The sequence below is a fragment of the Homo sapiens genome, chromosome 5 (assembly GCF_000001405.40).
Source record: "Homo sapiens chromosome 5, GRCh38.p14 Primary Assembly".
Taxonomy (NCBI): Eukaryota; Metazoa; Chordata; class Mammalia; order Primates; family Hominidae; genus Homo; species Homo sapiens.
In genome coordinates, this window is record NC_000005.10 from 58,572,549 (window position 1) to 58,589,360 (window position 16,812).

General features: G+C 38.2%; 1 protein-coding gene across 2 annotated transcripts in view, besides 1 other annotated feature; it reads left to right on the top strand.

Moving 5' to 3' along the window:
- The first annotated feature begins 9,603 nt into the window (after positions 1-9,603).
- The window catches only part of RAB3C (RAB3C, member RAS oncogene family), a 277,243-nt gene continuing 270,034 nt past the window's right edge, over positions 9,604-16,812 (top strand). The window contains exon 1 of one of the 2 annotated variants that reach the window (NM_001317915.2): positions 9,604-9,866. In NM_001317915.2, coding sequence (NP_001304844.1) covers positions 9,849-9,866 — 18 coding nt within the window. In that variant the 5' untranslated portion in view covers positions 9,604-9,848. Of the gene's footprint in view, positions 9,867-10,526; positions 10,685-16,812 lie in introns of those variants that run through there. The other variant, NM_138453.4, reaches the window with a different exon arrangement.
- Positions 10,334-10,533: a silencer, noted in NCBI's record as "silent region_16034". NCBI's record gives its function as "represses an Ori minimal core promoter by ATAC-STARR-seq in GM12878 lymphoblastoid cells {active_cell/tissue: GM12878}" and the evidence as "EXISTENCE:reporter gene assay evidence [ECO:0000049][PMID:35858748]".

Sequence of the window (16,812 nt, forward strand, 5' to 3'; positions counted from 1 at the left end):
AGAGATGCCTGGCATCTACCATTTTCCCATTCAGCCTATGCTTCAGGGTTCTTGTGCCATCTAAGGAGAAAGAAGAGACAAACTCCTATGTTACTTCTGCCACATCAGTTGATACAGGATTTTATGACCATCTTAACATGTGGATAGTAGGGTTAAATTTAATTTTAATTATAAAAATAATGAAACTTTGGTTCTATAGCTGAATTAATTTGTTGACATTTTTTAATAATAAAATTTAAAATATCGGGGTGGAGCCAAGATGGCTGAATAGGAACAGCTCCAGTCTACAGCTCCCAGCATGAGCAACGCAGAAGATGGGTGATTTCTGCATTTCCAAATGAGGTACCAGGTTCATCTCACTGGGGAGTGCCAGACAGTGGGTACAGGACAGTGGGTGCAGCACACCGTGAGTAAGCCAAAGCAGGGCAAGGCATAGCCTCACCTGGGAAGCACAAGGGGTCAGGGAATTCCCTTTCCTAGTCAAAGAAAGGGGTGACAGACGGCACCTGGAAAATCAGGTCACTCCCACCCTAATACTGCCCTTTTCCAATGGGCTTAACAAACTGCACACCAGGAGATTATATCCTGCACCTGGCTCAGAGGGTCCTACGCCCACAGAGCCTCGCTCTTTGCTAGCACAGCAGTCTGAGATCAAACTGCAAGGTGGCAGCGAGGCTGGGGGAGGGGCGCCTGCCATTGCTCAGGATTGAGTAGGTAAACAAAGCAGCCTGGAAGCTTGAACTGGGTGGAGCCCACCACAGCTCAAGGAGGCCTGCCTGCCTCTGTAGGCTCCACCTCTGGGGGCAGGGCACAGACCAACAAAAGACAGCAATAACCTCTGCAGACTTAAATGTCCCTGTCTGACAGCTTTGAAGAGAGTAGTGGTTCTCCCAGCACACAGCAGCTTGAGATCTGAGAACAGGCAGACTGCCTCCTCAAGTGGGTCCCTGACCCCCGAGTAGCCTAACTGGGAGGCACCCCCCAGTAGGGGCGGACTGACACCTCACACAGCCGGGTACTCCTCTGAGACAAAACTTCCAGAGGAATGATCAAGCAGCAGCATTTGAGATTCACCAATATCCACCGTTCTGCAGCCACCGCTGCTGATACCCAGGCAAACAGGGTCTGGAGTGGACCTCCAGTAAACTCCAACAGACCTGCAGCTGAGGGTCCTGACTGTTAGAAGGAAAACTAACAAACAGAAAGGACATCCACACCAAAAACCCATCTGTACATCACCATCATCAAAGACCAAAAGTAGATAAAACCACAAAGATGGGGGAAAAAGCAGAGCAGAAAAACCGGAAACACTAAAAATCAGAGCGCCTCTCCTCCTCCAAAGGAACGCAGCTCCTCACCAGCAACGGAACAAAGCTGGATGGAGAATGACTTTGACGAGTTGAGAGAGGAAGGCTTCAGAAGATCAAACTACTCTGAGCTAAAGGAGGAAGTTTGAACCAATGGCAAAGAAGTTAAAAATTTGAAAAAAAATTAGACTAATGGATAACTAGAATAACCAAAGCAGAGAAGTCCTTAAAGGACCTGATGGAGCTGAAAACCACAGCACAAGAACTACATGATGAATGCACAAGCCTCAGTAACCAATGTGATCAACTGGAAGAAAGGGTATCAGTGATGGAAGATTAAATGAATGAAATGAAGTGTGAAGAGAAGTTCAGAGAAAAAAGAATAAAAAGAAATGAACAAAGCCTCCATGAAATATGGGACTATGTGAAAAGACCAAATCTATGTCTAATTGGTGTACCTGAAAGTGATGGGGAGAATGGAACCAAGTTGAAAAACACTCTGCAGGATATTATCCAGGAGAACTTCCCCAATCTAGCAACGCAGGCCAACATTCACATTCAGGAAATACAGAGAACGCCACAAAGATAGTCCTCGAGAAGAGCAACTCCAAGACACATAATTGTCAGATTCACCAAAGTTGAAATGAAGGAAAATATGTTAAGGGCAGCCAGAGAGAAAGGTCGGGTTACCCACAAAGGGAAGCTCATCAGACTAACAGCTGATCTCTCGGCAGAAACTCTACAAGCCAGAAGAGAGTGGGGGCCAATATTCAACATTCTTAAAGAAAAGAATTTTCAACCCAGAATTTCATATCCAGCCAAACTAAGCTTCATAAGTGAAGGAGAAATAAAATCCTTTACAGACAAGCAAATGCTGAGAGATTTTGTCACCACCAGGCCTGCCCTAAAAGAGCTCCTGAAGGAAGCACTAAACATGGAAAGGAAAAACTGGTACCAGCCACTGCAAAAACATGTCAAATTGTGAAGACCATCAAGGCTAGGAAGAAACTGCATCAACTGACGAGCAAAATAACCAGCTAACATCATAATGACAGGATCAGATTCACACATAACAATACTAACCTTAAATGTAAATGGGCTAAATGCTCCAATTAAAAGGCACAGACTGGCAAATTGGATAAGAGTCAAGACCCATTAATGTGCTGTATTCAGGAAACCCATCTCAAGTGCAGAGACACACATAGGCTCAAAATAAAGGGATGGAGGAAGATCTACAAAGCAAATGGAAAACAAAAAAAAAAAAACAGGGGTTGCAATCCTAGTCTCTGATAAAACAGACTTTAAACCACCAAAGATCAAAAGAGACAAAGAAGGCCATTACATAATGGTAAAGGGATCAATTCAACAAGAAGAACGAACTATCCTAAATATATATGCACCCGATACAGGAGCACCCAGATTCATAAAGCCAGTCCTTAGTGACCTACAAAGAGACTTAGACTCCCACACAATAATAATGGGAGACTTTAACACCCCACTGTCAATATTAGACAGATCAACGAGACAGAAAGTTAAAAGGATATCCAGGAATTGAACTCAGCTCTGCACCAAGCGGACCTAATAGACATTACAGAACTCTCCACCCCAAATCAACAGAAGATACATTCTTTTCAGCACCACACCACACCTATTCCAAAATTTACCACATAGTTGGAAGTAAAGCACTCCTCAGCAAATGTAAAAGAACAGAAATTATAACAAACTATCTCTCAGACCACAGTGCAATCAAACTAGAACTCAGGATTAAGAAACTCATTCAAAACCACTCAACTACATGGAAACTGAACAACCTGCTCCTGAATGACTACTGGGTACATAATGAAATGAAGGCAGAAATAAAGAGGTTCTTTGAAATCAATGAGAACAAAGACACAACATACCAGAATCTCTGGGACACATTCAAAGCAGTGTGTAGAGGGAAATTTATAGCACTAAATGCCCACAAGAGAAAGAAGGAAAGATCTAAAATTGACACCCTAACATCACAATTAAAAGAACTAGAGAAGCAAGAGCAAACACATTCAAAAGCTAGCAGACGGCAAGAAATAACTAAGGTCAGAGCAGATCAGAAGGAAATAGAGACACAAGAAACCCTTCAAAAAATCAATGAATCTAGGAGCTGGTTTTTTGAAAGGTTCAACAAAATTGATAGACTGCTAGAAAGACTAATAAAGAAGAAAAGAGAGAAGAATCAAATAGATGCAATAAAAAATGACAAAGGGGATATCACCACCAATCCCATAGAAGTACAAACTACCATCAGAGAATACTATAAACACCTCTACACAAATAAACTAGAAAATCTAGAAGAAATGGATAAATTCCTCGACACGTACACCCTCCCAAGACTAAACCAGGAAGAAATTTAATCTCTGAATAGACCAATAACAAGCTCTGAAATTGAGGCAATAATTAATAGCTTACCAACCAAAAAAAGTCCAGGACCAGATGGATTCACAGCCGAATTCTACCAGAGGTACAAGGAGGAGCTGTTACCATTCCTTCTGAAACTATTCCAATCAATAGAAAAAGAGGGAATCCTCCCTAACTCATTTTATGAGGCCAGCATCATCCTGATACCAAAGCCTGGCAGAGACACAACAAAAAAAAAGAGAATTTTAGACCAATATCCTTGATGAACATTGATGCGAAAATCCTCAATAAAATACTGGCAAACCAAATCCAGCAACACATCAAAAAGCTTATCGACCATGATCAAGTGGGCTTCATCCCTGGGATGCAAGGCTGGTTCAACATACGAAAATCAATAAATATAATCCAGCATATAAACAGAACCAAAGACAAAAACCACATGATTATCTCAATAGATGCAGAAAAGGCCTTTGACAAAATTTAAAACCCTTCATGCTAAAAACTCTCAATAAATTAGGTATTGATGGGATGTATCTCAAAATAATAAGAGCTATCTATGACAAACCCACAGCCAATGTCATACTGAATGGACAAAAACTGGAAGCATTCCCTTTGAAAACTGGCACAAGACAGGGTTGCCCTCTCTCACTACTCCTATTCAACATAGTGTTGGCAGTTCTGGCCAGGGCAATTAGGCAGGAGAAGGAAATAAAGGGTATTCAATTAGGAAAAGAGGAAGTCAAATTGTCCCTGTTTGCAGATGACATGATTGTGTATCTAGAAAACCCCAATGTCTCAGCCCAAAATCTCCTTAAGCTGAGAAGCAACTTCAGCAAAGTCTCAGGATACAAAATCAATGTGCAAAAATCACAAGCATTCTTATACACCAATAACAGACAAACAGAGAGCCAAATCATGAGTGAATTCCCACTCATAATTGCTTCAAAGAGAATAAAATGCCTAGGAATCCAACTTACAAGGGATGTGAAGGACCTCTTCAAGGAGAACTACAAACCACTGCTCAATGAAATAAAAGAGGATACAAACAAATAGGAGAACATTCCATGCTCATGGGTAGGAAGAATCAATATGGTGGAAATGGCCATACTGCCCAAGGTAATTTATAGATTCAATGCCATCCCCATCAAGCTACCCATGACTTTCTTCACAGAATTGGAAAAAACTACTTTAAATTTCATATGCAACCAAAAAAGAGCCCACATTGCCAAGTCAATCCTAAGCCAAAAGAACAAAGCTGGAGGCATCATGCTACCTGACTTCAAACTATACTACAAGGCTACAGTAACCAAAACAGCATGGTACTGGTACCAAAACAGAGATATAGACCAATGGAACACAACAGAGCACTCAGAAATAATGCCACATATCTACAACTATCTGATTTTTGACAAACCTGAGAAAAACAAGCAATGGGGAAAGGATTCCCTATTTAATAAATGGTGCTGGGAAAACTGGCTAGCCATATGTAGAAAGCTGAAACTGGATCCCTTCCTTACACCTTATACAAAAATTAATTCAAGGTGGATTAAAGACTTACATGTTAGACCTAAAACCATAAAAACCCTAGAAGAAAACCTAGGCAATACCATTCAGGCATGGGCAAGGACTTCATGTCTAAAACACCAAAAGCAATGGCAACAAAAGCCAAAATTGACAAATGGGATCTAATTAAACTAAAGAGCTTCTGCACAGCAAAAGAAACCACCATTGGAGTGAAGAGGCAACCCACAGAATGGGAGAAAATTTTTTCAACCTACTCATCTGACAAAGGGCTAATATCCAGAATCTACAATGAACTCAAACAAATTTACAAGAAGAAAACAAACAACCCCATCAAAAAGTGGGCAAAGGATATGAACAGACACTTCTCAAAAGAAGACATTTATGCAGCCAACAGACACATGAAAAAATGCTCATCATCACTGGCCATCAGAGAAATGCAAATCAAAACCACAATGAGATACCATCTCACACCAGTTAGAATGGCGATCATTAAAAAATCAGGAAACAACAGGTGCTGGAGAGGATGTGGAGAAATAGGAACACTTTTACACTGTTGGTGGGACTGTAAACTAGTTCAACCATTGTGGAAGTCAGTGTGGCGATTCTTCAGGGATCTAGAACTAGAAATACCATTTGACCCAGCCATCCCATTACTGGGTATATACCCAAAGGAGTATAAATATGCTGCTGTAAAGACACATGCACACGTATGTTTATTGCAGCACTATTCACAATAGCAAAGACTTGGAACCAACCCAAATGTCCAACAATGATAGACTGGATTAAGAAAATGTGGCACATATACGCCATGGAATACTATGCCGCCATAAAAAATGATGAGTTCATGTCCTTTGTTTGGACATGGATGAAGCTGGAAACCATCTTTCTCAGCAAACTATCGCAAGGACAAAGCAGCAAACACCGCATGTTCCCACTCATAGGTGAGAATTGAACAATGAGAACACATGGACACGTGAAGGGGAACATCACACACTGGGGACTGTTGTGGGGTGGGGGAGAGGGGAGGGATTGCATTAGGAGATATACCTAATGCTAAATGACGAGTTAATGGGTGGAGCACACCAACATGGCACAGGTATACATATGTAAGAAACCTGCACGTTGTGCACATGTACCCTAAAACTTAAAGTATAATAATAATAAAAAAAGTAAAATATTTTCCAACACCTTACTTGAAGAAGAAAGTATAATCAATTATCCTTAGATCTTATATCCTGTTTCTCAACCAGCAAAGGAGAGATAACTATCAGATTGCATATCTTTCTGAATGAGGTATTTGACTTATAATTTAATGTTTGGTAATTTTAATGATTTCTTAGTAAAAGTATGGTCAAATTATGAGACAGCAAATAAGTGTTCATGTCCAAAGTAGTGATTATTGAAATGTCATGTATTTACAAAGAAGTCTGGACTGGAAGTCACATGAACTGTATGTTAGTTCTGTCTCTGTTTGTAATTAGTGTGATGCTATGTGAGTCATTACTCATCTTTGGGTCTTTATTTCTTTATCTGCAAATTAAGAAAGAAGAACAAAATGATATTTAGGTTCCTTTGAAGATCTTCTAGTCAATGTCTCTCATTCTACATTTATAATTAGATGATCTTTTTAAACATATTTAGGGGTACAATATACTTTCCCAGAGAATATCATTGATCTGATTACTCTTTCCTATAACTCCTTAAAGCATTTACTGGTAAGAGTGGACAAGCAGTTAATCAGGCACTGTTCTGCCACTCATGTTTTTTATTATTGTTATGTTACCTATTTATCTATCTGGTCTCCAGAATTAGTTTGTAGTCCCCTTAAGGATGAAGATGGTGTCTTGTCTTTTTGACCCTCCTCATTTGAAATTATAATAGATAACCCTAACTATAATGAAAATAGTTGATACACTTAAAATTTGATTATATTAATAAATTGCAATATACTCTCAAAATAGTTGTCTTTTTCCAATATTTGTAACAGCACTGGATGACTCTTGGGCTTTAGGCAGGTTATTTCACTTTTCTGGGATCTAATTTTGTACTCAGAAAATGGAAGAATTGAGCTACATTATCTGTAAGATCCCTTCTTAGTGTACTAGTCTTTTTAAAATGCTATGGAAGGGCCACGTGAGGTGGCTCATGCCTGTAATCCTGGCACTTTGGGAGGCTGAGGAGGGAGGATCACTTGTGGCCAGGAGTTTGAGACCAGCGTGGCCAAAGTAGTGAAAACCCGTTTGTAACAGAATTTGTGACTTTCAACTGGGCACATGTCCAATCAGAATAAAGATGACATTTTTCAGCCTCCTTTGTAAAAGGTATGGTCATAAGATTAAGTTCTAGGAACTGGAATATAAGAGCTGTGGTGTACATAAAGTGATGAAGAAATGCCCTTCACCTTTCGTCCTTCCTGCTAGCTGGAATGTGGATGTAAGAGTTGGAGCTCAAGCAGCCATTTAATGACCTTAGGAATGAAATTCATGGATGGTGGCCTGATTTCAAGCAAAGCTACAGTGCTCCTGCTCTGATTTTAGCTAGTCATCTTCAGTCCACTTTTCTTGGTTTATCTGACTCCTGACTAGATTTTTTTTCCTCTTTGCACACCTTAAATTCTCAACTAAGACACTATGAACAGGACAAAATTAAGTTCCCCCCAATGTTTTTTAAAAACTCCAGCTTTAGGACAAAATTAAGTTCCCCCCAATGTTTTTTAAAAACTCCAGCTTTAAACTAAACTTTCATGGGTTCTTCCACAAATAAAAGACATACTAAAAAATCCGAAGATATATATAATTTTAGTGAAATGTTGAGAAGGGATAAACTTCTCAAAGAACAGTAATTTTGCAAGATAAATATTTATAAGGTTTAAATATGTTCTATATCAGACTGAATTCTGAGAATTTCAGAAAGTGATGATAGTACAATATACATAAGAAGTTGTTCTGAAGAAAGGCAGGCTCTAAGTAGCTAAGCAAATATTATTAAATGCCAAACAATTCTATACATTTAAATGTCAGGATTATTTTGTTGGCATTTCTCTTGAAAACAATTTTTAAAGAGATGCATCTTTAGATACATCTTAATTTTAAAAATTGCAGAAGTCATACTTCTAATAAGTTGCTACTGTGATACGTATTGGTATTGGATTTTCTTTTAACTTTCCATTTTGTTATTAGCTAATTTACACGAAACTTCTCTAAGCATCACACTACTCTCAACTATGAGGTTTATGTTTTTAAATATATGCCTTTTCTATTTTTTTTTTTTTTCAGATGGGGGTGTCTCACTATGTTGCCTAGGCTGGCCTCGAATTTCTAGGTTCAAATGATCCTCCCAACTCAGCCTTTAGGGTAACTATAACTGCAGGCACGCTCCACCACACCTGGCTTAAATGTATTTTCTGAATAGTTATAAAAACTACTTACCTAGGTGATATCGCATTACATTCTCACTAATTGCAAGATTAGAAGACAGATTATAGAGTTGTTAAATAATACAATCAACTAAAATTAATGGAAATATTGAATATGGTAGGTTCCCAATATTAGACTGTTGCATTATTGAGTCCATACCGTGACATTTTTGAGGTTTGCACCTTTGAAAAAGTGTTACACATAGATTCTTTTAAGACAATGTTTCTCAAATTATGGCAAGGGAACCACTTGCATCAGAATTGCTGGAGTGTTTATTTAAAATGCTAATTTCCAGACCTCTCAAAAGATCTAGTGAATCAATCTCTACCTGTGGCTTAAAAATTTTAACTTTAACCTCCGTCTCAACAGATTTTCAAGTACGTTTAAGTTTCAGAACCTCTGTTCTACTGCTGCAATGAAGTTTAAAGCTGATTCAAGTTATTCCTTCCATACCTCCATGCCAATATCACAATCATTCCTTTTTCACTCTGCCTCCGTTATAATTTTGACTTCATGACAAGGCAGGGCTGATTTGCTGGATGATCAACGTTTACTTTTAAGTAGAGAGGGCTGTCTCTAGATAGTTACAGAGGACATGGATAGTCATACCTATCAGTCAACTGACAGGAAAAGGATAAGTCTAACAAAAGTACAGTTCCTAGATTTCAAAACCATTTTTTTGAACTAATCTGGGAGGAGTATAGTTGTAATATAAGGAATGACTTTGTGTTAAAGAAAGGACAGGATAACTTAATAGAGGTCTCCCATCTCATTCTGTCACGGTGCTTTTGGGTTCCGGTGATGAATGTGTTCATTTTATGTGGCTTGCTCTGGGTAAATAACCCAGTGCCCTATCAGCTCTGCAGCCCGCGGCCAGCGGCAGTGTGTGCGCGCTAATGACGGCGGAAGGTGCCTGGGGGAGGGCCTGGGGAGGGGCTGGCCAGCGCTATCGCGCCCCTGGCACTTCCTAAGAGACTGAGCCCTTTCTCTGCAGCTGCAGCTTGGATTCCACGCTTTCCCTCCAGAGGAAAGAAGCCCTCCATCTAAATCAGCTGTCTTCTCCACATCCCTCCTTTTTCTCTCCGCCAGACGCCACCCCTACCCCTTCTATTGTGTTGTGCCTTTTCATTTTAGCCCCGCTTCCTACGTAGAGCCCTAACCTCCTTTGTAGCGAGGGCACTTGAGAATTTCTGAACCTCGAGTTGTAATGGAGCTGTATGGAAAGGTAAGCAGGCGAAAGGAGTTCCTTGGGGTGCTTAGCCAGAAATCTCGCTTTCACGCACTTCGGTGTGCGGGTTGTGTGTGTGACTATGTACGCGCGCGCGACTTCTCAGTGCAATTATGCGGATAAACCACTTTCCTTATGTGTGTACCGTTAATCGTCTTTCTCCCCTACGTTTGGTGAATGAGATTGTAAAACTGCCCCACTCTGCCTAAGGAAACGTAGAAACTTTCCCGATTCGGATGGGGAGGGGTAGGGCGGAGAGTCCCAGAGACCAGCTCTGGCTTCGTTTGCATTGGAAATTAGCACAAGGTAGTGTTGTTTCCTAATCAGAAAATCACCATCTACTTCCGAAGGCGATAGTTAGCAAAGAAAAATCTCCAGCTGAGATAAGCTGGGGTCACATTCGCCTGCCCCTGGCGAGGAAAAGAGCAGGGGAGACTGGGAGAGGTAACCCAGGAGCGTTTGGAAAGGAGTAGGGAGGCTCCGCGGCCGAGCCCGACTGGCGGATCGAGCCTGTTTAATGGTTTGCTTGCTTGCCGGGAGTTGTAGTTCACCGCTCGCCCGTTTGCCGGGAACACCCGGAGGGCGAGACTACAGCTCCCAGGAGTGCACGGGGCTCCTCGGCAGTACGCGTGTGCGGCGCCAGGAGAGGACAGCTCCAGTGCTGATGTTGGAGCCGGTTAGCGAACCCCAAGAGTGCAGAGTGTGGAGCGTGGAGCGCCGGGACTGTGCACGCTTGACCGGAAGCCCAGACCAGTGCGGTCCTAGCCAGAGAGAAAGGACATTTGCCAACAATGAGACACGAAGCGCCCATGCAGGTGGGTCCATAAAGAAAGAGTGGCCTCGGGAGGAATTGAAAGAGATGCTTTTCCCCTTGCTCCGCGCACAAGCAGTTCAACGTAAGGAAAGGTCTAGGCGGTCACCCGCGGAGATGCGGCTCTGTGACATGACCCTGGGAACAGAGTTGGGTTTCTTTACGCTCTGTGTGGCTGTGATTGGGGCTGTCTTGATGAGGGATCGGGCTATTCGCAATCTTTCTAGGCTCTGTAAAGAGGATAAGAGTGTCTGTCTAAAATGAAAACCCAAGCAAACAAAAGTCAGAGGAGCATGCAATCTCGTGTTGGCATTGATCTCCTCTCTTGGCATCCGGGGTTTGAGATCGCGGTGAAAACTCACGGATTTAAGGCAGATAGATCAGATTCGGGGTTGAAGGCTCCCCACTGGAGTCGGCATAGAGCGAATTCCGCTTGGTTAAAGGCGCATTAAATAAAGAGAAGCCAATGTTAGGCTCCTCAAAGTCCCCTTTCTTCAGTTAGGCTCCCAGTATCAGCAAAAAATAGCAAACACATCGGGGCTTGGCATATCCCTGAGCTATGCCAGCATCACTGTCCACACAACTGGTTTACTCTGTTTTGGAGACAGCCCCCTCTGAGCTTTCCTGTGTTATGTGCCCATTTGTTCTCCGATTCCCCATTTCAATCACATTCTTAGGTTTGTTTCCTTTGAGAAATGCAAAGGACTCTGGTGCAGAAGTACCACTGCCTAAGCATCTTGCTTAAGTTTTGTTTTTAAGTAAAGATGAGTGATAATTCTCGTCTCTATGTACTACCAGTTAACGTTAAACATCAGCTTGTGTTTATTAATCAAGCAGTGATCCTACTGTGTAACAGAAAGGCATTTTATGAGTGGGGTTGAGAGAAGAATAGAAAACATCATTTGGAATGTGCTGTCTCTCCTGAGAACCCACCTCTGCTGCCAAACCCAAGAGTATAAATATTTGACATTAATTCGGACTTCAGCGTTTTCCAACTGGTTTCTTCATGAATCAAGGACTTTAAACATATGCTTTGATTTACTTTTAATTTATTTTATGGGTTATGTATATTAAGAACCCCTTACTGGACTGTTAGATGAAAAATCTATAGAATTTAATTGTTTGTTGGGTGATTATATAAGGGAAGTCCTCAAATTACCTATGAGTTATTGAAAATTTGATTTGTTCCAGGGAACAGTGGCCCCTTTGTGTGTCTTCTAATACCTCTATTTGTGACTTAGCTTTTCATTATAGACCTGATGTGAAAAGAATCTGAACAGACAATAAAGGTACAGGCTGTTGCAATCAAGATATATTGGTTTATGATAATTTTCTATTACTGGAGATACTACCAGGAGCCAACTGGCTAAATTAATCATATTTAATTATAAGTAAACACTAATTGTAGACTTTAAAAGTAGATCATTATACTTCACTATGTATATGTATATTAAAACATGTACATCTTAAATTTACACAATAAAAAAGATTTCCAAGAATTTTTGAAAAATAAAGTAGATTGTTAATATTTAAAGTAAACTATGTATGCACTGATATTTTTTCAATCAAAATAAATTACGAAAAATTTAACCACACTGTATATCAATTTTGCTTTCTTACAGAGTTGCTTAGAATGTTCAGAAAGGTCATTAAAATATTACAGAACTGTATTAATGTTTCAGGAAACAGTTAAAATTATTTTTTGTGTTCACCAACTATGTAGTAGGCACTGTGATTTTCTATTTTAGTCAAAACTTTAATGAAGAACTAAAATAAAAATAAGGTAAAATGAAATTAATTTGCTTGTGGATGGAGTTATTGTCATATTTATAATGTATTTTTAGTCGTTGGACTAAGTTTTTGAAATTTAAAATTTCCAAATGCTGTCATGAGTAATGTACATTTTAGGAAATCAAAGACTTTTTTAGCATATTTAATTAAAGCACATACATTAATTCAATTTAACTAATAAATTGTTGTTATGGTGACCCCATCTCCATTATTATCAATTTTCAAAAATATGTAATAATAGATAGGATAAAAACTATAAGCTTACTCTGAATATTTTAAAGTAACAAGTAATGTTTCAGCACCGATATTTCTGAATTGTAATCACATTTCACGTGACTTTGATATATGACAATGCAACAAGATAAATAATTGACTTTTTTTTTCATTTAAAGACTGAACCACATCATCATTTTAAATATATGCCCCAAATATTTTTTTACTTAGGTCTGTAGAAGATGACTCACAAGCAAAACCTCATTTTATGGTTCCATAAAATAAGAGATTTCTTCTCTGCTTTTAAAAAATATTTAGTTCATTTGTTGATGTGAAAGAAAATGAGCTTTTTAATGTATTTGCTTATTTCCCAATTTACTTCTTGTATTTTCTTAAATCAAAGAATCCTTTTAAAAATCATGTAAGGTCTTTTAAAAAGCATTTGATGTATCTATATAAATAAGTTGATGTTCTGTTCGAGGTAGTTATCTTTGATATGTGCCTATTTTATGAAGAGTATTTCTTTCTGAATTGAGGGAAAATGAGGGATAATTGTTTTTTATAGTAACTACCAAAATAATATACAGTGATAATCTCTGACATCTTTATTTCCTTTCTAATCTAAATAACCAGGAATAGCATTTGGTAAGTGTCCCAAGTGATAGGCTTAGAATTCTAATGCAGGAGATGGTCATTTGTATCTTCTCATTCAGTGTATACATGAATCCTGAAGGCCAAATGAGATGAGAAATAACAGTTCTCATGACTTGAGGACAAGACTCTGGTTAACAAATTGTCATTTGATTCAGGAGCCACATTGAACAAATTCTAGTTTATCTAGTGCTTTACCTGTGCTGAGCCCTGTGACTTAGATTTCATTGTATTTGTGTGTATGTATAAAACAATTTTTATATGTATATATACTATATAACAATCATACATATCTATGGATATATTTTACAAGAGTATTTACAAATATATTTAAAAATCCTAGCAGTCACTATTACCCTAATTATAGGCATGATCACTCGAACTTATTAAGACTAAATAACTTTCCCACTAGGATAGAGTAAAATTTCCGCCAGATCTCTCTGTCTGGAAAACCCACGTTCTTTCCTCTGTTACTTTTGATTCCCCAAGAAGACATAAATTGGTGGTGTAAAGAATGAGACAACTATTGATATAATTTGAGTCATTCATTTGGTTCAGAAGAAAGAAAAATTGGCCCTATCTTCTTCTTATAAAATAAACTTGCATAAACTAAACAGAATATTTGAAAAGGGGCAATGTTTTAAAAATGGTTTGCTTCTATCTATTATAATTTCTGGCAGGGTCACGTACTCTCTTACAGGACCAAAGTGGAATTCATTGTCTCTGACTAAATGCTTACTTTTCCAATTTGTTATCCACAAGCTTTTGGGGTCACTTCATAAATGCAGTCTTCTGACTATTGAGGAAAATTCAAAGAAATATATCTACCCAAAACATGGAGCAGAGTGCCAAAAAAAAATGTTTGGCTAAAGATGAGGAGGATTGAAGAAGGACTATAGATGTAGGCTGAAGATGAAGTGGAGCTAAAAACCATTAGTTATATATTAAAGTTAGCCATACTGTACACAACACCAAATTACAAAGAATTAAAGTCTAAATATCACTGTTTTATTTGGCTATGGAAAGTACATGGCATTTTTGCACTTCATTATTGTTGAATTCCTAACCATATCCATCCTCAGTGATCATCCCTCTATCTTTCTGAGAAATGGACATGTAGTCCTCATCCTTTACAGAAACAGAAAATCCCTAATTGACTTTAGAGAAATGAGAAATTCTTCCTTACTCCATTTGGGCTAATTGCTCAAGTATCCACTTTTCTTCTGTAAAAGGAAGTGGAGGATAGCAAGAAAACTTAACCTATAGCAAAAATTCACTTTTGTAGTATAAGAATGCTTTTCCATTGAAACTGCAAAATTATCATAATTTTCTGCCACCATTCTAAGCTTATACTGGAATTGGCAAGTCCTTTCTTCACCATCATATTCCAGGAAGGAAATATATGTTTATGCTGAGGAATAGGTTTTCTTGAAACTACTCTTGCCCACTCAACTCGCTAAATACAAGCAGCTGGGCCACCTCAAAAAAATGTTCTTTTATATAGATTAAAGGTTTTCCAACCATTTTTCCCTTTCTTAAATTAATGTGGCTCAGAGGTTCTGTGGGAATCATCTTAGCAGGTCAGTCTATTACCAAGGATACTACAGCCTGTGAAGATTAAATCTTTGAGAGTTATTCAGAATAACATAGATCTTTAGCATTTTTCGTTCATTAGTTTATAGGTTTTTAGATAATATTTATATACATTGAAATGCACAAATCTTAAGTGAACAATTTGATAAATTTTGACAAATGTATAAATCTGTGTAACACACACCATTATAAAGATATAGAACATTTCTAATCATCCCTGAGTATTCCTTCATGGTTTTTCCTAATTAATATACCTATGCAGTAAACTTTTTTAGGTGAGACTTGAACTTGAGATCCCTGGGTTCTCCTGACCAATCACGGGTTAGCTGTGGGATTTTCCTGTGTCTCCTCTCTCCCTGGGAAGGTTCAAAAGTCACTCAGCCCTGCAGAGTGACTTAACCATAGGAGTTTGATTTGTTCTAGAACTTCATATAGTTCTGTAGAACATGCAGTATGAACATACTGTGGAACAAAAAAATATGTTCTTGTTTGAGTCTGGCTTATTTCGTTCAGCATAATGTGTATGAGATTCATCCATGTTGTTGCATGTTTCAATAATTCATTCCATTTTATTGCTGAATATTATACTTTTAAAATCAATTTAATATACTTTTAAAATTCATTATCCTGTTTATGAACTTGGAGGTAATTTCTAATTTGGGGATACTAAGAATAAGGCTATAAATGTTTTTTCTATTGTTCTTTTTTATGATAATATCTTTTCACTTCTCTTGGGTAAATACCTAAAAGTAAAATTGCTGGAATAAATGGTAAGTATATATTAAGCTTTATAAGAAACAATCAAATCTTTTGCCAAAGTGGGAGGACCGGCAATTCTCACCAGCAATGTATGAGAGAGTTTTAGTGGCTCCACATCTTCAACAGCATGTAATGTCAGTGGTCTTTTTAGTTTTGGCCACTTGGTAATGAGTGTTTTCTGGTATCTGATTATGATTTAAATTTGAATTTTCCTAATGATGAACGGTTTTTAGTATATTTTTATGTGCTTATTGGCCACTTATATATCTTCCCTTGTGAATCATGGGTTTTAACCTTTTATGCATCTGGGGGGTTTGTTTTTATTGTTTAGTTGCAAGAGATCTTTCATCTTCAGTTTAGTCCTTTGTCAAGTCAGGTAGATATATAAATAAAGGTTTCTCCCAGTTGGTGGCTTGTACATTCATATTCTAAATAGTGCCTTTTGGTGAGGATTTTTTTGAATTTTGATGAAATTTAGGTTAATTAATTATACCTGGGGTCTGTATCCAGACTCTGATCTGTTTGTCCTGACTCTGCGTCCAGAGGCCTTGCTATATTTATTTCTAGTTTTCTTTAAGATTCCATAAGAATTTCAACATAAACTATCATATTATTTACAAATAGAGATAGTTTATTTCTTCCTTCCCAAAGACTCTCTTTTTTTCCCCATATCTTATTGAATAGAATAGAACAACCAGTACAATGTTGAATAGACGTGATGACAGCGGACATCCTTATCTTGTTCCCCATTTTAAGAGGGAAGACCTTCCGTTTTTTATCATCAAGTGTGAAATTAGCTGTAGGGTTTTGTTACTATGTTTCTTTGTTTTGGTATAGATATTATTTATTATATTGAACAAATTTGATTTCTCGGTTGATGAGAAAATTTGTTTTTAACATAAGTGGGTGTCAAATATTGTCAAATGCTTGTTCTACATCTATTGATGTGATTGTGTGGTTTATCTACTTTATTTTGTTGGATTTCATGGATGGATTTTTTAGCTAATCTGGCATTCCTTAGATAAACCCTATTGGTCATGATATATTGTCCTTTCTATATATAGCTGGATTAAGCTTGATTATATTTTGTTAAGTATTTTTTTGCATTAGTCATGATGGATATTG